Source organism: Homo sapiens, chromosome 6 (assembly GCF_000001405.40).
Source record: "Homo sapiens chromosome 6, GRCh38.p14 Primary Assembly".
Taxonomy (NCBI): domain Eukaryota; kingdom Metazoa; phylum Chordata; class Mammalia; order Primates; family Hominidae; genus Homo; species Homo sapiens.
In genome coordinates this window covers 147,431,727-147,452,306 of record NC_000006.12, presented here as the reverse complement: position 1 = coordinate 147,452,306, position 20,580 = coordinate 147,431,727, and the positions used below count along the sequence as shown (strand labels likewise).

The following is a 20,580-nucleotide window of genomic DNA, read 5'->3' as shown; positions in this document are numbered from 1 at the left end:
ACTTGGGAAAATATCCCATTGGAATCTTATGTTTGCTCAGAGGCCAAGAAAACAGACATCAACAGAGGGGGCCTTGGCTCTGCTGCTCACTTCAGGTTTACAGAACCAGGTAAATTCTCATCAGAAGCTGCATGGTGACAGACCAAGCAGATAGATAGCTTCTCCTTAATAACTTACCTTGTGTGTGTGTGTGTGTGTGTGTGTGTGTGTTGTTGTTGTTGTTGTTGTTGTTGTTTTCTTATTAGTAGAGGAAATGGCTGGCCTTCTCTTTGGCCATATGGATTTTGATAATTTGAAGACAAGTCAAAGAACTTGTACACATTCATTGCAATATGTATTTGTGTGCATAAGTACACATATATAGTTGATCCTTGAACAACATGGATTGAACTGGGCGAGTCCACTTATATGTACATTTATTTTCACCTGTGCTACTCCTGAGATAACAAGGCCAGGGAAGACAACAAGTAAGGGAAGGCCCTTACTCCCCCTCCTCATGCTACTCAATATCAAGATGCTGAGGATGAAGATCTTTATGAAGATCCACTTCAAACTCAATAGTCAATATATTTTCTTTTCTTTATGATTTTCTAAATAACATTTTCTTTTCCGTACCTTACTTTATTGTAAGAATACAGAATATAATACATATAACATACAAAACATGTTAATTGACTGTTTATGTTGTTGGTAAGCCTTCCAGTCAACAGTAGGCTATTAGTAGTTAAGTTCTGGGGGAGGCGAAAGTTATATGTGAATCTTCAGCTGTGTTTGGGGTTAGCAACCCTACCCCTGAATTGTTCAAGGGCCAACTGCACATATTTGTTATACATAGGATGTCATATATGTACAATAGGGGGTTATACATTCTCTCTGCATTTATTTGCTTTCTAGTCATTTTACTTTTTTTTTTTTTTGAGATGGAGTTTCCCTCTGTTGCCCAGGCAAGAGTGCAGTTGTGCAATCTTGGCTCACTGCAACCTCCACCTCCCAGGTTCAAGCAATTCTCCTGCCTCAGCCTCCTGAGTAGCTGGGATTACAGGCATGCACCACCACACCCGGCTAATTTTTGTATTTTTAGTAGGGATGGGGTTTCACCATGTTGGTCAGGCTGGTCTCGAACTCCTGACCTCAGGTGATCCACCCTCCTCGGCCTCTGAAAGTGCTGGGATTACAGGCATGAGCCACCACGACTGATCTGGTCATTTTACCTCTGTGGCTTTTCTACTGTAAACTGCAGATGTTTTCTTTTGCCAAAGAGGTAAGTAGCTCATAGAGCTGTAGTTTTAGGATAATTAGTATTTCTTATGTCTCACGATGAGTAACTTTTCACTATGTTGCCCTCTGGTCGGTTCAGTTTTTCTGGTGCTCCCTTCCCACTGCTGCCAGAGGTAGAGAATTAGGAGCTGGCTCCCAAGGCTGGATGCGCAGGGTGACTGGCCTTGTTGGTTACATTATCTCTTCTTTGTTGTCACCCAAAGCTACCCCAGTTGTCTGATCATTCAGACAACTGGAGATATTGTCACACCTCCACATATTGACCATCACTGACATTACAATGTAAAGGCAATGGGTTTGGGGGTTTTTGTTCATTATGTTTTTGCTTGATTTGTTTTGTTTTTGTTTTTACAAAGAACTCATAGCTATCATATTTCTGGAACTCTTTCATGTTTGAGAAAGTCTATTGTCTTTTGGTTTAATGAAAGGTTGACTGTCTATAATAATCTTGGATCACCTTTCCTTTCTCTTAGAACTTTGAAATTTCCACCAAATATTGCTGTGAAGTCTAAGGCCAGCCTGATGTTTCACTTATGTTAGTAAATTATTTTTTCTTCCTGTATGTCTAAAGAATGTTTACTTCATCCTTGATTTTTAATAATTTAATCTGGCTATTGTTTTTCTCAAAATACAGTGCACAGTGTTTTTTTCAATCTGTATATTCAGTTTTTTTCAATCTGTATATTCAATCTGTATATTCAGTGTGTCTGTTTTGATTTCAGGAAAATTTCCCCAGATTACTTTTTAAAAAATCTTTTCTTTGTTCTATTTGTTTCTCTGCTTCAGATATAACTATTGTCTTTATGTTGACTCTCTAGTCCCAGAACTATCATTTTTTACTAATCGCTTTCATAATTTTCCTTGACTTTATAATCATGATGTGCTTTTCTCTCATGGCTTTTGTCCACACTAGGAATTCAATTTTTAGTTGTGTCTATCTGTTCTTCTCCGTTTTTAATACATTTATTAACTTTGTAAAACTGTGTTCAATGTTTCCTATGATCCGTAAAGTTTTTCTTCTCAATTATATCATCTTATTTTTCAGCTCTAGTTTTATAAATGTTGTTTTAAGCTGTATATAAAATATTATAAACATATATAATATTTGTAGTGTTACTATCATGCTGTGTTTCCTTCTCTCCTTATTCATTTCTGTGGCATGTTTTTGTACTGCTGAAGAGGTTCTTCCTGCCCACTGCATAAACAGCATAGTGTCAGAGGCATTTGAACCAGAATGTCTCCATCTTGAATGGGGGCTGGGTAAAATGAGGCTGAGACTTACTGGCTGCATTCCCAAGAGGTTAGGCATTCTAAGTCACAGGACAAGATAGGAGGTCAGCTTGAGATACAGGTCATAAAGACCTTGCTGATAAAACAGGTTGCAGTAAAGAAGCTGGCTAAAACCCGCCAAAACCAAGATGGCAACGAGAGTGACCTCTGGTTGTCCTCCCTGCTACACTCCCACCAGCACCATGACAGTTTACAAATGCCATGGCAATGACAGGAAGTTACCCTATATGGTCTAAAAAGGGAAGGCATGAGTAATCCACCCTTTGTTTAGCATATAATCAAGAGATAACCATAAAAATGGGCAACCAGCAGCCCTCAGGGCTGCTCTGCCTATGGAATAGGCATTCTTTATTCCTTTACTTTCTTAATAAACTTGCTTTCACTTTACTGTATTGACTCACCTCGAATTCTTTCTTGTGTGAGATCCTAGAACCCTCTATTGGGGTCTGGATCCGGACTCCTTTCCAGCTGTAGTAGAGAAAGAGTTTAACAGACATGAGGCTGGCCACACCACATGGGAGATGGAGTTCCTACTCAAATCATCTTGTTCAAAGCTCATAGGTTAGGGTTTTTTCAAAGGCAGTTTGGGGGAACGGGTGGGGGTGGCCATGCAACAGGGGCTTGCTGCTGACTGGTTGGGGCAGAGACGAAATCATAGGGGGTTGATGCTCTCCTCATGCCAGCTGAATGGCTTCAGGGTGGAGCCACAGGAGCGGGGTTGTCTCTGCAGGTGGAGTCATCGGTTCCAGGTGGAGCCATGGGTGTCAGACATGCAGAAAACCTGGAAAGGTATCTCCAAAGTCCGATCTACAGCAGTGGTGGTATTTGCAGGAGTAACTGGGGGAAGTTGCATATCTTATAACCTCCGGAATACTTGTCTGCACCTTAGCAGGACGCAGGCTCCTCTCCTCCCCTCAGCCTGATGGCCTCCTATTAGCTTTACAAAAGCGATTGAGTTTTGGGCAAGGCCTATCATTGATACGGCTCTGATGGGTGGAGAACACTAGGTTCTTCGTCTCGAGTCAAATTAGAAAAAATGACGTGGACATATGTGGAGTCGTTTTAAGGAGGAGGGAGTTTAACAAGCAAGAAGGAAGGGGGAAGAAAGAAAGAAGAACCTCCTCTGTACAGAGACTTAGGAAGGGGGGCTCCAAAGCCGAGAGAGGGAACCATACCTGCCAGGGTTACCAGCCAGGTATATACACAGAGGCTGGAGGAGGCGGTGTCTGATTTGCATAGGGCTCAGGGGATTGGTTTGAATAGGCATGTCATTCACATAGTCCGTGAAAAAGCTGGCCGTCCCACCCTGGCCTTTTAATATGCAAATGAAGGGCGACAGGATGTTCTACACTCTGGGGAAATGTGGGGGCGGCCACGTGCGGCAAGGGCAAGAAGGCAGCAGTAATCGCAATGTTTGGGTGGACCCAGTTTCTAATGGCCTGCATTTGCATATCAAAGGTTGCCAGCCTGGCTCTAAGAGCCAGGGCTTTACAAAAAACGTTTCTGGAGCAGCTTTAAAAATGAAACTTCCCAAGGACCCCTTTTCCTCTCTGTCTGCCTAAAATAATTTCTTAATAACTCCTACAACATTATCATTTAAACGGTACCCTAAATGTCTTCCGAAGTTAGCTTGGCCCAGTAGCCCAGGAATAATTAAGGGAAAGGCAAGATAGGGGTTGGGTTAGCTTAGCTTACTAAGTTTCTCACTGATACAACTTTTGCAAGGGTGGTTTCATTCACATAGCTGCCGTGCCATTTCTTGTCAGTTTGCTCCTGCTTAACCTGAGCAGCTGTATTCAGACCTTTGCTTTGCTCTTGCATAATGTGGGTGAATTCTCCCTGATGTCCTTCCCCACCTTTTTTTGGAAACTTCATCTCTCCCCACCTTACATATAGCCTGAGCTACTTATGAAGAACTGACTTGTGTGTACTTGATTGTGGGCTGAGCGTGCAAGACATGGCAGGGAAGGCTCTTTGGGGGCTGGATGTGCTCCTTGTTAGAAGCCTTGTGCTGTGCTGTTAGATGTCCTGGGCCAGTGCCTACCCATCCATGCAGGAGGTTTAACAGTCCCCAGTTGAGCAAGAACCTCAGGAACTGGGAAGAATGGGTAGTACTTCCTACCTTTTTTGAGATTCTAGAAGTTTTTTTATTGACTTTTCTCCAGTCTGCTTACTTAGCCCTTTAGATTACTTCTCTACAAATCAGGATACTGCAGGGAGTGTGTGGAAGTGGGAGCATGCTAGGGGAACAGGTAGAATTGGCAAGGTATTTTGACAATTCTTTAAGGGTTTATAAAGGAATCTTTCCTCATTGCCACTTCGGAGTTCTAAGAATGCCCCGCTGTGCCAGAACGTTTCTTTTTCTCTGCTTGTCAGACTTTGGAATTTGAAGGGTAAGTCTCTCCTTTTTTCTTATGAATGCTCTACTGATAATTGGGGGCTGGGGGCAAGATAGAGGAGCCCTTCTCTTTTTCACTTCTATAGGTGTTTAGGATGGGAGATGCTGTGATCTCTTTCTTCTGTCACCTTTATCCGAGATCCTGCATGGAGATTATCTTTCCACTTTAGTTATTGTGATGCTCCGGGACAATGAACACATCTGTTCTGATAACATCCTAGGGAACCTGGGTGGAATACTCCGCATCACAGAGGTTTAATATCTTTATTCCTCAGTATTCTAGAGAAGAGAATTTTATTTGTTCTAACATATCAAATTGGAAACAAAATGAAAAAAATAAAGCAATTCCTTTAGTTCTATGACTGCGTCATGTTTATTTACTTCACTAGAAATTGAGTTTTCTTATTTACTTATTTTGCCAAAGCTTGACAGCTCTTGGTCAGCCTTGCTGTTAGGCACTTTACATGTAGTGGAATCTTTAAGCTTTTGTTCAATTTTATAACTTTGAAATTTCAAGTAATTTCAAACTTATAGCAAAGATGCAAGAATAGTACATCATTTCCAATTGTTCACATTTTGCCCCACCTGCGTTCTCATTATCTTTTTACCCTAAAAATGTCATTATGTATTTCTTAAGAACAAGGACATTCTTTTATGTGACAGTATAATTATCAAAATTACAGAATGAATATTGATGTCACCATCTAAACAAGATACTGTATTCAGATTTTGCCAATAGTCCTAATAATGCTCTTTACAGAAAAAAGAAAAGAAGAAATTAAAATAATTTTATTTTCCTGATCCAGAATCCAAACTGAAATTATATATTACATTTAGTTGTCATGTCTCTTTCATCTTTTATAATCAGGAACAGCTACTTATCTTTAAAAAATGTGGTTTTGTCTTTTATGACCTTGATGTTTTTGAAAAGTAAAGACTAGTTACTTTGTAGATGTTCCTCATTTGGGGTTTCTCTTATGTTTTCTCTTGATTTTGCATTTTTGGCAGGGATACCTCAGGAATGATGATTTGATCACTTTGCTAAGGTGGTGTCTGCCAGCCAGGTTTCCCTGCTGTTAAGTTATTATTTTCTCTTTCTAACTATTAAGTAATTTATAGAAGATGCTTTGATACTATGTCAATGTTCTCTTCCTTGTCAAACTTTAACCTACTGGTTTTAACATCCATTGATACTTCTTAACCCAGGATGTTTACTATGATGGTGTCAAATAGCAAAATTCGAATTCCATCATTCCTTCTATGTTTATTAGTTGGCATCTAAGAGCTTCAATAACAAAGGGCTTTCTTTCTTCCCTAGTTATATATTCATTTATATGAGTATGAACTCATGAGTTATTTTATTCAGTGGTATATTATCTGTTACTATCATTATTTTTTTGTGTATCCATGTGTCCATTTGTCCACGGTGTCATGGTGTGCAGATGTGGCCTTTGATTTATCACCTGTATCTTTTTGACTGGTCCCCAATCATCCTCTAAGCACGCACTTACTTTTCAGTGTCACAAGATATTCCAGATTAATCTTATACTTTCCCAATCACAGCCCTGGATTCAGTCATTTTGCTGAGAAGTCTTGTCCCTTTTAGTGGAAAAGGGTATTTAAAACCGAAATGTGAGCATTAGATATGGTAATTGCTGTCAGAGTATTGCTGCTTCTAGGGCCTCTAAAAGGACAGAAATAGGAAATACATGTAGGTGTTTATCATGCACACACACTATACATACATATATACATATATATAAGGTTGGTGCAAAATAATTGCTGTATTTACCATTAGCAGTAATGGGAAAAACTACAATTAACTTTTGCACCAACCTAATATATGTATTTTTGTTTCTATCTATCCACGTATGTATCTAGCTATCTATCTATCCATCCATTAAAAGCCATAAGTTTATTTGGATATTGACAATTCCAATCCTGCAGCACAGTGTTCATTCTACTCTTCATTCTTCCTATATTGGTAACTCCCTTCCTTTTTTCACTATTTTACTACTTAGAGTAGACTTTCTTTTTCTGGGAATGATTTCAGCACAACCCTCTCTTCACTGTTCCATCTAGTTTTTCCAGACCCTCCCCTCTCCTTTGCTTTCTGCAGGGGTTTGTGGCATGAGCTTCAGAGAAGGCACTGCTGAGAACTCAGTGCACAATTTTCTACTTGTGTGTAATTTGAAGTTTGAAGAGTTTTGTATCTTCTAGTTATGCTGAGGATTTGCTTCTTCTTTGTTTGTTTGTTTGTTTTGTTTTAAGGTAAGAAGCTCCAGGTCTTTGTATTGCTTCTGGAATATAGACTAAATTATGAGGTACATTGGGTTATTAAAGGTATGGACGATAAGTCTAGAAATTGCCAGAACCAAGGCTTGAGGGTTTAATTCAGTTGTTCTACAACAAGCCCCCATGAGTGTAGGAGCAGATGGGCAGGCAGGAATCATATGTCCAGTAGTGTGAAGGATACACCTGACACTTGGCACAGGCTGAAAGTTCAGCATAGAGCCTGGATGCTCCGCACAGTCAGCCACAGGGTAGATGATACCCTCAGCACCATTCTACACCACCATCACCTACCCAACCAGGACGTCTCCCGAGCAGGAACTCCTCCATAAAACCATCTAGTTTCTCCACTCTCTACTGACCCACTCTTCTGAGGATCCCCTCAATCATCCTTTTAAATGTTAGACACATTCTACAACCCGCTTGGGCTATGGAGGGTTCTACCCACGTTGTTTTTGAAGATTCAGTAAGAAAAAAGCCGTCCTTGAGTAAATGTGCTACTTCATTTCATTCAAATGGTGCACAGACATTATCATGACAGATCAAATCACCTGGTATCTGGTGATGCCAATTACTCACACAATAGTCAGTTGAGAGCCAGCTGCCTCTGCTTACTATGGTATTTATAAAAGCACTCACCAACATCCAGGAGGGCAAGATGAAAAGACTCTGGATGTGGTATATCCATAATTGATCAAAATAACTGCTACAGTTGTTTTCTATAGGTCCGTTAACAAGCTTATTAAGACCAGCATGATTATAACAGCCTCTCTGACATTGCTAGAAGCTGCTTATGAATATGTAAGATTCTCCCTTTTGTGTCACTTCCCTTAACATTATCCTGTCACTGTGCAGAAACCTCCCAGGAAAGGATTGGTCTGTACTGCTGGGAGAAATAGTCTAAAGCCTAACTTCAGAAACAAGTCTCAAGATTTCTCAAGGCATTCTTTAAGGATCCATTGTTATTTCAGATGGATTCAGTAACTGCACCCATTTAATTGGCACCAAAAATGAAAGTTTATTTTATATCTTGTTTTTCTTTGCGACGGAGTTTCACTCTTGTTGCCCAGGCTGGAGTGCAATGGCATGATCTCAGCTCACTGCCACCTCTGCCTCCTGGGTTCAAGTGATTCTTCTACCTCAGCCTCCTGAGTAGCTGGGATTACAGGCATGCACCACCACGCCATGCTAATTTTGCATTTTTAGTAGAGCTGAGGTTTCACCATGTTGGTCAAGCTGGTCTCGAACTCCTGTCCTCAGGTGATCCACCCACCTCGGCCTCCCAAAGTGCTGGGATTACAGGTGTGAGCCACCGCGCCCGGAGGGAAGTTTACTTTAGGGAGAAATATGAAGCAATCTTGAAGATCTAATTACACAAAGAATCTTCAGCAGTTACCTGCTCTAGCTGGTCTATGCTGGTGACAGCAGAAAGTACGTGGATTCCAGTTTTCCTCTGCTATTTATATTGGCCATGCCATGAAAAACCTTGTTCACTGCTCTGAACTTTAATTCCATCATTATAACTGATGAGGAATCCAGTTAGATAAAAACACTGAGTCTCCCTTTTGGGCCTGAGATACTCTCTGAGTAAGTTCAGGCTGCCATAACAGAATACCATAGACTGGGTGGCTTAAACAGTACACATTTATTTCTCACAATCCTTGGAATTCCAAGGAGCCTACAAATCTGGTGTCTGGTAAGGGCTGCCTTATTGGTTTACAAACAGCCATCATCTAGTATCCTTACATGGTGGAGAGAGGAAAACTCTGATCTCTTTTCCTTTACTTATAAGGGCATTGATCCCATCATAGGGCACCCCACCCTCATGACCTCATCTAAACCTAATTCCTCCCTAGGACACCATCTTTGTCAATATCATTTTGGGGGTTAAAGTTTCAACATATGAATATTGGAGAGGGGAACACAAGCATGCAGTTCACGACAAATTCCTGGGCTCAAGGGATCATGTGAGGAATCCCTTTCAAGTGTCACCAAACTACTAAGTTAGTAAAAGCCTATAGACTTGGCCAGGTGCAGTGGCTCACGCCTGTAATCCCAGCACTTTGGGAGGCTGAGGTGGGCAGATCACCTGAGGTCAGGAGTTTGAGACTAGCCTGACCAACGTGGTGAAACCCCGTCTCTACTGAAAATACAAAAATTAGCCAGGTGTGGAGGCACGCACCTGTAATCCCAGCTACTCGGGAGGCTGAGACAGGAGAATTGCTTGAACCCAGGAAGTGGAGGTTGCAGTGAGCCGAGATGTCACCATTGCACTCCAGCCTGGGCAACAGAGCAAGACTCTGTCTAAAGAAAAAACAAAAAAGCCTACAGACTTAAAATTACAAGCATATTTTCGATGAATATCTAAATATTGGTCTGAATTTTGGGTGAGCATGTTTCACTGGGAGAGGGTAAAGACACATCTGGGTGGTAATCAATAAGGCTTCTAAAATGCCAACCCTGGGGCTCCTTCCTGAGTGCCTTATAGTAGGAAGACAGAGGCATGACCTTCCCAGCTTTGCTTCTGTCCTGTGGCACACAGCTGAGAGCAGGTGTCCCCCACTTAGAAAAGGGAGACTGGAGAACCTCAGGAATTTGAAGGCCTTCAAGAAATGTTCTCCTGCCTTTCTTTCCACTAGCATTTGCCAAGTCCCTCCTGGTAGAGGACTGCAGAGTTTGTCCTTCACCTTCAGGGCCTCCTTCTGCCCCTTGTTTGTCCTGTTTTGTTCAAGCTAAGCACATCCTTAATCAGCTAAGCACATCTGTAATCAGGCTGTTACTTGAGTGACTGACTGGCCATTTCTAAGTCAAGAATAATAATCTCCTACTTTCTGTCATTATTGAGAGGTTTACATTACATAATATATGAAAAATGCCATGCACGGTGCCAGGTAACTGACAGGCAGTTGCTCTTATTATTGACCTTTATAATAATAATCCTAAAATGCCAAAAATAAAAACCCAAGAGAAAAATCCATCTTGATTCATGTAAAACTAAGCTTGCTCTTTTGCAGATCCTGTTCAGCTGGAGGACTGGCACTTGCAAACTTGTCTGGCATAGTTCCTGACCTAATCCTCATGAAGAATGAAATGCAGTTAAAGGCTCACAGGGTCATACATGCTGACTTGTGCCATCTGGTATTAGACTTGCTGCTGCAGTTCCCAGCATTCATTGTGCCTGACTGAGTTCTGGTGACACGGAGAGCATATTTTATAAACTGAAAAAGCTCTAATATGGCCTTGTTTGGGAAACACTCCTTTAGGCTCAGATAGGCTGTCTTAGAGTAGGAAATCCACAGGTAACAGCTAGACTCATTTGCAGTATACCCTATGGAGTTGAGATCACCCAAATCAAACCAAGAAAAAGTCAGTTCACTCAGTCATTGAACAGATATTTATGGACATCACAAAGAATTATCATGGAAGAGGTCCTAGATTGCATGGCTGTGCTAAAATCTTCAAGGGCTGAAAACTTCAACGGAGAGACAATGACAAAAACAAAAGAGAAAAGTATTGGGTGTATACTCTATAACATGTGAGGATGAAAGTGGAGGCTTTTAAGGAAGACAGATGAAGAATAATCTGGAAACAGCAAAGAGAAACAAGAGGAACACCTCAAGGAGCAGTGGAACAAAGGTGGTAAAAGAGGAGGCCATCTCCACTTGAGAGTGTTGGCAGAAGCATGATGTCTTCAAAGGAGAGCCAGGCTCAGGTGCGATGAAAGTGAAGAGAAGCCATGGACACAGGTATGTTCTTGCTGATAATGGGCTTCTTTCATCATGAGGACAGTGGTTTTCCAACTGCAAGTTGCCACATATTAGCATTTTGTGGAATCAACTTAGCACATTGTGATTAGTAGTTTTAAAAAATAAAACAGGATTACATAAACAATATGAGTGGATAGTAGAATGAAGTCCAGCTTTATGAATCTGTTGTTTCAAGCATATGTGTGCATGTGGTATGTACTTGTAGACATGTTATGTGTGATGTGTATATGGTATGTAGGATGTGTTTGAGTGTTGTCATATGTGAATGGTGTGGTTTTGGGTGTGTGTGGTGTACCTATGTGTGCATAGTATATGTGTGTATGTGTACATGATATGTTTGTATGTGCTATGGTCTGAATGTTCATGTTCTACTGAAATTCATATGTTGAAATCTTTATCCTCAAGGTAATAGTATTAGGAGGTGGAACCTTTGGGAAATAATTAGGTCATGGAGACAGAGACCTCATGAATGGCATTAGTGGCCTTATAAAAGAGGCCAGAGAGACCACTTGCCCTTCCACTATGTGAGATTAGAGTGAGAAAACGGTCATCCACGATAAAGCATCCCCCACCTCACACAGACACCAAATCTGCTGGTGTCTTAATCTTGAACTTCCCAGCCTCCATAACTGTGAGAAATAGATTTCTGTTGTTTATAAGTCATCCAGTCTATGGTATTTTGTTATAGCAGCCAGAACAGACTAAGACAGTGAGAGTAAGTGTGTCTACATAGGATGTCCTGGTGTCATATGATTCATATTGTTTGTGTGGGTCACGGTTTGGTTAAGGGGATGTACAGACTCATGTGGTGATGCATGGTCACCTAGTAGTAAGTAGTCCTGGGCTTCTCGTGAACTTACAAAAACAGGAATAATGGACAAAGACAAGATGAGGGCCATAGTTTTTTATCTTCAAGACAGCCTGTAGCAAGAATGAGGCAAGCCTAATCTCCAATCCTGACAGTTATACAACCAAGAGAGGTAGGGCCAGAGGGGATTTTACTGGGTTTGCCAAGGCCAATGGAAAGGAAGCCAAATGATATGGTTTGGCTGTGTCCCCACCCAAATCTCATCTTGAATTGTAGTTCCCATACTCCTCACGTATCATGGGAGGGATCTGGTGGGAGGTAATTGAATCATGGGAGCAGTTACCTCTATGCTGTTCTCGTGATAGTGAGTTCTCATGAGATCTATGGTTTTATAAGGGGCTTTTGCCTCCCCTTCGTTCTGCACTTTCTCTCCTGCTGCTGTGTGAAGAAGAATGTGTTTACTTCCCCTTCTGCCATGATCGTAAGTTTTCTAAAGCCTCCCCAGCCCTGCATAACTGTGAGTCAATTAAACCTCCTTCCTTTATAAATTACCCAGTCTTGGGTATGTCCTTACAGTAGCGTGAGAATGGACTAATAAACCAAATATCAAAATAACAAGGCTTAGGCCGGAATTTAGGACAAAAGATCGTCAGTTACGAAGAGTTCTTTCTTCAGCAAACATTGTTTGATGTCCTGGGCCTGGCCTGTGTGAGCTCAGTGCAGTTGCATTTGGAATTTGTGGGAAGTTACTGCCAGTCTTAGAACCATCCTAACTATAGTCTTAGACTCATAGATGTCCAGGGAACTTGGTGGAGTCAGGGACCAGTTGGTTTCTGGCAATTTAGGAGATTTTATTCACTCATAGTTGGAGGACCTTAAAGTCCAGAGAGAGAAAAGTATTCAGGTCTAAGTTCTCCCCAAATCCTCTAACTCCTTTTCTCTTGATGTTAACCAGAAAGCTCTAAAGGGAAAACTCCAGGGATCCATCTAGTCCTCTCCTCCAGGCTCTGGTTCTCCCACGCTCCACAGGCCAGGCCAGGCTTCCTTTTTTACACTGCGCCTTTAAGGATCCCATTGTCCATATCAAAGGACTGGGCTCTATCAAGATGACAAAGAGCAGAGTAAAAGAGGTATTCTAAAGCAATTAGTGAGAACAAACAAAGGAACAAAAAGCAAGTCATTATGCAAATATATGGCCATCCAAGGCACTTAGCCTTTAAGGAGTGTTGTCATTTCAAGAAGATTCAGGGTTTTTGGTTTGGTTTTGTTTTCCTTTTTGGTTTAGTTCAAACAATTTTGTGTGAAAATGTGACCTCCTTGTGATTGGTCTTAGTAAAGCTTTATAGCATAAGACTTTACACCTATATATTTTGCCTAATTAAAGGTTAATTAAGTTTCTTTTCCTGGTCTAGGAAGGCCCAGCAAGCCCTCCACTAGCTCCTAGTAGCAGCCGCAAGGTGGGCCGGTGCAGGTCCTGTTCCCCAGGCTGCCTGGGGAGAGCGGTGAGCCACAGGGCCCTCCCTTTTATGAAACTAGCTACGTGCCTACTTATTCTCACTGAGAGCAGCCCCACACCAGAAACTGTGCTATATTCAAGTAGCTAGTAAACCAGCAGTCCTTTAAAAACAGTTTTGCTAGGCCAGGCACAGTGGTTCATGCCTGTAATCCCTGCACGTTGCGAGGTTGAGGCGGGCAGATCACTTGAGGCCAGGAGTTCAAGACCAACCTGGCCAACATGGTGAAACCCCATATCTGCTAAAAATACAAAAATTAGCCGGGCATGGTGGCACATGACTCTAATCCCAGCTAGTCGGGTGGCAGAGGCAGGGGAATTGCTTAAACTCAGGAGGCAGAGGCTGAAGTGAACTGAGATCACACCACTGCACTTCAGCCTGGGTGACAGAGCGAGACTTAGTCTCAAAAAAAAAAAAAAGTTTTGCTAAATGCCAACCCATGCTTACATTTCAAATGTAATGAGGTGGGTTGGTCAATTCTACAAGGCAATTTTTCTGAAGGTCCTTGCATCCTTTGTTGGTTCTGCTGTCTCACTGGTGAGTGATTTTGGCATTAGAATTGTGAGGAAGGGTTTACATTTAATATAAGGCTACGATTTTTAAGATACTTAAGTAAGGAAGTCTCAATGGATAGGGTCATCTTGACTGAGAAAGATGTTAAATTTGGTTTCCCCAAAAGATGTGCCCTTGGGGTGTCTTGTCGTGGGCTCTGCATACAAGATGACACTACTATGTTTCTGTCGATAAACAGTCCCCAAGTTTACAGTGTTGAAATGGTTGACATAGGTTTGAAGATGAAAGCAGAAATGCTCTTGCTATATCTTACCATTTTTGAGACAGTAATTTGATCACAATGAGTGGTAGTATTTTTGTAAAATAATTTCATTGTGTGCTTTAGTACATATGAGAACACGTACTATGACATGCAGCCATCAGGATCATAGCACAAATCTATTTAGGGTCCCGTGTTCTGTTTTTTGCTTTAATATAGAAGGAAAGACTCTCAGTTCATAGATGCAAAGGAAGGAGATGATGACATCAACTTTCAATGTGCCCATAGCTCACAGCTTTAGGCTGCAGTTTGGAGTTGATTACTCTTCCAGAATAAATTTAAATGGCTCTTTAGTGTCTGCTGCCGGCCTGCTTTCCATTCTTTTCAGAAACATGCAGTCATTTCCAGATGTTGTGTCTGAGTGGCCTGGACGAAGGGAGAGGCTGAGTCTACCCTAGCATGGTAGTTTGTTTTAGCTCAAACACAGAATTAGCCAGGCCTACCTTCTGGTACTATTCAAATACAGATGCCTGATAGGCATACTAAATAAGAAGCCAAAAAGAATAAGAAGTACCCGGGGCTAGGCGCAGTGGCTCATGCCTGTAATCCCAGCACTTTGGGAGGCCGAGGTGGGTGGATCACCTGAGGTGGAGAGTTCAAGACCAGCCTGGCCAACGTGGAGAAACCCCATCTCTACTAAAAATACAAAAATTAGCTGGGCGTGGTAGTGGGCACATGTAATCCCAGCTACTTGGGAGGCTGAGGCAGGAGAATCACTTGAAATCAGGAGGCGGAGGTTGCAATCTCTACTAAAAATACAAACATTAGCTGGGCGTGGTGGTGGGCGCCTGTAATCCCAGCTACACGAGAGGTTGACGCAGTAGAATTGCTTGAAACTGGGAGGCGGAGGTTGCAGTCTCTACTAAAAATACAAAAATTAGCTTGGTGTGGTGGCAGGCGCCTGTACTCCCAGCTACTTGGGAGGCTGAGGCAGGAGAATTGCTTGAAACCGGGAGGCAGAGGTTGCAGTGAGCCAAGATTGCACCATTGTGCTCCAGCCTGGGCAACAAGGGTGAAACTCCATCTCAGAAAAAAAAAAAAAAGAATAAACAGTACCCACTTTCCAGACTAAACAACTGCTCCCCTAAAAACATCCAAGAAACTTGGTAACCTCCATTCCTCTGAGAAGTTGTTGGTAACTTTAAGCTATTTATTTATGAGATACAGGGTTTCACTCTCATCGCCTGGTCTGGAGTGCAGTGGCATGCTCTTGGTTCACTACAACCTCCATCTCCCTGACTCAAGCAATCCTCCTGCCTCAGCCTCCCAAGTAACTGGGACTACAGGTGTGTACCATCACACCCAGCTAATTTGTGTATTTTTAGAACAGTCTGGGTTTCACCATGTTGGCCAGGCTGGTCTTGAACTCCTGACCTCAGGTGATCCGCCCACTTCGGCCTCCCAAAGTGCTGGGATTAAAGGTGTGAGCCACTGCGCTCGGTCACTTTAAGTTATTTAAATCAGCTTAAGGATATTGCTTGACATAATCTCTTATTATTTTTAATCTATTTTATCCTTTTTCTCTTTCACTATATTTGCTTTATTTTAGTTTTTCATTTTAGCAATTTATCTCATTTTTAAATCTTTTGTTTTAATGGAAAGTTGGTGTAAAGAAAACAATCTCCAAATAAAGTTCATATGTCCTTCTTCCCAGTCCTCCACAGTCCTCCACAGTTAGCTCCACCAAGACCTTCTCCCAGTCTCACAATAAATCTTCCAATTTCATCCTGAATTATTCTGTTGACATTAAAGAATTCCCCATGGGAAAGATTCCCAGTCTCAAATACAACTCACTGTTCCCTGGAAAACCCCAATATAGCAGCAAGCGCAGCCCCTACAACCCGAAAGCTATTAGAAATGAGTGGCTAAATGAGTCTCACAGAGGACTAGAAAGGAGGAATGTGCTTAGTATCTTTTGTATTGCTATGACAGAATACCAGAGACTGGGAACTTTATAATAGACAGAAATGCATTGGCTCACGGTTCTGGAGGCTGAGAATTCCAACATCAAGGTGGAAGCATCTGTCTCGGGCATTGCTGAATCATCACATGGTAGAGGACGTCACATTGCAGAAGGACAAAGAGAAGGGGAGAGAGCATGAGCAAGAGAGGGTGAACCCAACTCCCTCAGTAAGGAACCTAATCTTGCTGTAATGACATTAACTCATTCATAAAGGAGGAACCCTCATGACCTAAATAATTCTTAAAGCTCTCAACTCCCAACACTGTCACTATGACAATTAATTTCAAAATGAGTTTTGGAGGGGTCAATCATTCAAACCATAGTACGAGAATGAGCACAAGCTCATGAACAGCTTGGAGACTGTACTCTACTCAGTTGACCATAAAGCCACCATTATTAGCAATAATGGCTTTCCTTAGATGTGTTCCTTCATGATTTTCCTTAGATGTGTTGGAACATAAAACATGTTGAAAGTCTTTGCCATGGAGGTTGGGGAGTTTTTGAGAAGATTTTAAGGAAAGGCTAGCCCAGTCAGATGTGTATAGAGGAGACCAGATTACTTTGGCTGTAGCATACAGGATGTCCTAGAAAGAAAAGTGAGAAATTAGAAGGCTGTTGTAAAGAGCCAGGTGGGGTGTCTGAAGCAAAGCAGAAGCTTTGGGAAAGGAGGTGAGGAGGCAAATGTTAGGGATATTTGGGAAGTAAACTGTCAGATAGAAATCAGGGAACCCAACACTACAATTAAGAGTCCTATGACTCTAAGAAAATGTTTTGCTCCTAAGCCAAGACATAGATTATAGTCCCAGTCTGAACTGACTGAGTTATTAGAGGAACACAGATTTCAAAATAAACTCTTGATTTGGGAAGGGGGATTTCAAGGACTGGGCAACTTGACCCAGGAAAATTTGCCAATTACAAATATTCCTTAGAACTCATGATTCTGTTGCATTAGAAGACATTAAAGTCCTGGTGTCCTTTAAGCCACTAGCTCAAAGTATTATTTTGAGGAAGCAGAAAAAAAGAGTGCACAAAAGGGCAGGATGGAGGGTGGGAGTGGGCACAGCTGGAAAAACATTTTTAAAATACATCCTTTTGGGGAAGTCTGTTTTCATCAGTAATTTTTATTTTTTCTGGCAGACAGTTATCTAAGAAGTGGTGAATTTGCTGAGAAATATCATTACAACCTGGTATGCAAAGGCACACATCCATGTCTGAGGTCTTTTTCTTTTAAGAGACTCTTCTTTTTGGTGGTGTAATAAGTTTGTGAAATTGCACTGTATCCAAAACTTTTGAGGTCTTGAAATATACAACAGAAAGCTATACAACAGAAAATGCTGACTCTCTCTTCCTCGTTTTATAGTTTTCTTTTAAACAAAGCATACCAATGAACTGGGTTAAGTCAAACCCTCATGTCTGGTTCCACGAGAATGTGCATGAGCAGCTGACAGCCTAGATCTTGCTGTGAACTGCAAGGGCTCAAGACTTGGCATGTCTGCGATGATTCACACATGGCCATCTTTCAGTAGTTACTGACAAATTAGGCAGGAGGACAAAAGTTTGAACTAATTTCTTTTAAAGATGGATGGTCGGTCTCCATTGCAGAAGCAGTTTTCAAGCCTGTTCTGTAATTCCAAGCTTCCTCAAACCTGGCTATGCGTGAGGACACCTACTTAAAAGTCAAATGCATCCGATTTGGTTGGGATTCAGAGAGCTGCAATTTTGGGAGAAACTACTGCTCTAATAAATGAATGTGCTAATTATTTTATCCTGCTAAGAAGATAAGCCCATGTTTAGTTTTCAGCATCTAGCATAGATCACACATGACATTTATCATAAATCCTACATGACTTGACAAGTATGTCATGGACCAGAGAAAGAGCTCAAATAATTTCCCTGGGGTTATAAATATGCGAACGTCAAAGCCACAACCAGAATGCACAGTCCCTGAATTTCTAGCCCGTGTTATGAGATCTGCTGTCATCCTTCAGCCCATCCTGATATAGTCAAGTGCAATGACGGTAAAAGAAAAAGAAAGAGCTTCTGAGATGTTGGTATTTTTAAGTTTTCTTTGGTAAGTTTTAGGATGCAAGGTCAGAGTCCTGAGTATGATGAGAGGGATTTTTAATATGGAGTTATATTTCAGGTAACAAAATTGTGAATTAAAAATGATTGCACTGGAGGCTGAGGTGAGAGGATCACTTGAGCCCAGGAGCCAGATGTTGCCATGAGCCAAGATCACGTCACTGCACTCCAGCCTGTGTGACAGAGTGAGACTTCATCTCAAATAATAATTGCAGAACAAATAGAGACCTAAAATCTGAAGAGACTTCAAAGCTTGGTGATAGAGGAGGAAAGACAACAGAAAAGTACACAGCATAAGTCTAAGGACTGGACACAGTTACTAGCCTAGGAACAAAAGGGCAATAGTTGGGTCAAGAATGATGTAAAGGAAGAGGGTTCACAAGTTATGCAAACCCAATTCAATTTAAAAGAAAGACTTACCATATTCTATCTACTGCTGATATGAATAACCCAAACACTAAACTCTTGGCTGTTGGACATACATTGACATAGCCATACACATGTATGTTGTATGTTTATATAAGCAGAAAGAATATGGATTGAACTGTGTTGGTAAGATCCATGCAAAACTAATTTTAAATGTCTTTAATTATGAAACTAAATTGAAGTCAGTGGTGAGGGGCACAGGGATGACCTTTGGTTTGGGGATTTCGAGGTTTGGGTTCCTGATCAATGAAGTCTGTCATGGGACCTAAGAAGGGTCTGAAAGGCAGTGGAGAGCAAAACATCTGATCCAGAATGAAGGCTCTGCCTCTAGGGGCTAGCAATTGGCAAAGGGAGCCAAAGAGTTCTTTTGAGGCAATGGCCTCAAGTAGGAGAGTGGAGATTCTCCCTGGCTTGGGACAATCCCCTGCCTGCACCCTCAAGTCTCTGAGCTATAGGCTCATTCCCAGGACCTCAGAGAGGAGGAGGATGGAGCCTGGCCTGAGAGTCGAGACCAGTCTTTATAGCCTCCTTTGTGGGGCAGGCGTGGTCTGCAGAGGTTGAGGGTGGGTTGGGAGAGGAAGGGTAGAAAGAGGTTGGGCTCCAAGTGATAGAGGAGGCTCCCAAACTGATGACCAAGGAGCAAAGAAATCTGTTGGGTGTGGGATGGGGAGCCAGTGTCATAAAGGTAAAGGCATTTGAGTTGGCCTTGGAAGAGAAGGATTAGAAAAGTGCAGTGATTTTGGGGAGTGGAGGAGGGAAAGTAATGGAAGGTGTTGGAGGGCTGGGGTGTAAACTGGGGACAGATTATGAGATGACTTCACACCTTTTAATGTTATTCTTGGCATTGTAGGCCAAATGTAAGGAGCAAAAAGTTTACACTACAAAGAATAATCTCTAACTTCAAGGAATTTTCTTTTCTTTTGAAAGAGTCACTCTGAAGCGTTATGTGTGGTTTGAGTCCCGTCAAGAGCCTAAGCTGTCTGGGCACGGTGGCTCACACCTATAATCCCAGCACTTTGGGAGGCCGAGGTGGGTGGATCACCTGAGGTCGGGAGTTTGAGAACAGCCTGACCAATATGAAGAATCCCCATCTCTACTAAAAATACAAAATTAGCTGGGCATGGTGGTGCACGCTTGTAGTCCCAGCTACTCGGGAGGCTGAGGCAGGAGAATTGCTTGAACCTGGAAGGCGGAAGTTGCAGTGAGCCGAGATCACGCTATTGCACTCCAGCCTAGCAGCAAGAGTTGCCTCCGTCTCAAAAAAAAAAAAAAAAAAAAAAAAAAAATGCCTAAGCTGCATTATTCATCCTCTGATTCAGACATGCGTAGCTGGGTTTGGAGAATTAGTGGGGTGGTCTTTTCAGGAATTCTATTAGCAAGAGGGACCAACGTGGCTTGTAAGAAAGAATGCACCCTAAGTGAAGTATCAGTCACAGCCTAAAAGTTTCAGGGTTGAGGGTCAGGACACACAATATTCTGTCACATGGAGCATACCTGTGGTTCACTCCTCGCTCCCAGGGAGAGGGGTCTGGTTCAGAGTGTGGAAATTAGCCAGTGGGGACGTCGACTGAGGGCTGTCATACCCAAGCTTCCGCAAAGTGCTGAGTCCCTAGTGCCAGCAGCAGGTGGGCCAGGCCTGGCACAGGCAGCGCTGGGGACTCGGCCGTCCTGTGCTCCCTGCGGTCTTCACAGCAGTTTTCTGAGCCACGTCCAGACAGCCTTCATAGCATCCTCAGAGAGACTGGGGCAGATAAATGGGAGAAGAGGAAGGGGGGGTTCCGCTGTGGCTGAGAGCATGTGTACACATCGACATACCAGGCAGCTCCTAAACAGATTTATCGGGCTTTTTAACTGTGAAGTTAGACATCCTGCTATCACAGGAAAGAACAAAAACAGCCAGAATGCATTGTTCACCTGGGCTGCCAGAACC

The 20,580-nt window shown here is 42.2% G+C and overlaps 1 long non-coding RNA gene across 1 annotated transcript, besides 3 other annotated features; it reads right to left on the bottom strand.

The window, feature by feature from the left end:
* Positions 3,606–4,372: an enhancer, noted in NCBI's record as "OCT4-NANOG-H3K27ac hESC enhancer chr6:147769071-147769837 (GRCh37/hg19 assembly coordinates)". NCBI's record gives its function as "activates a minimal SCP1, AML or CMV promoter by ChIP-STARR-seq in primed H9 embryonic stem cells {active_cell/tissue: H9 hESC(primed)}" and the evidence as "EXISTENCE:reporter gene assay evidence [ECO:0000049][PMID:30033119]".
* LOC105378043 (uncharacterized) lies at positions 12,230–20,580 on the bottom strand. Its single transcript, XR_943097.2, has 3 exons — positions 20,145–20,580; positions 16,161–16,216; positions 12,230–12,271 (listed from the first exon to the last, which is right to left on the bottom strand). It is a non-coding gene; the product is annotated as an uncharacterized LOC105378043 (long non-coding RNA).
* Positions 12,399–13,000: an enhancer, noted in NCBI's record as "OCT4-NANOG-H3K27ac-H3K4me1 hESC enhancer chr6:147760443-147761044 (GRCh37/hg19 assembly coordinates)". NCBI's record gives its function as "activates a minimal SCP1, AML or CMV promoter by ChIP-STARR-seq in naive and primed H9 embryonic stem cells {active_cell/tissue: H9 hESC(naive and primed)}" and the evidence as "EXISTENCE:reporter gene assay evidence [ECO:0000049][PMID:30033119]".
* Positions 13,001–13,602: an enhancer, noted in NCBI's record as "OCT4-NANOG-H3K27ac-H3K4me1 hESC enhancer chr6:147759841-147760442 (GRCh37/hg19 assembly coordinates)". NCBI's record gives its function as "activates a minimal SCP1, AML or CMV promoter by ChIP-STARR-seq in naive and primed H9 embryonic stem cells {active_cell/tissue: H9 hESC(naive and primed)}" and the evidence as "EXISTENCE:reporter gene assay evidence [ECO:0000049][PMID:30033119]".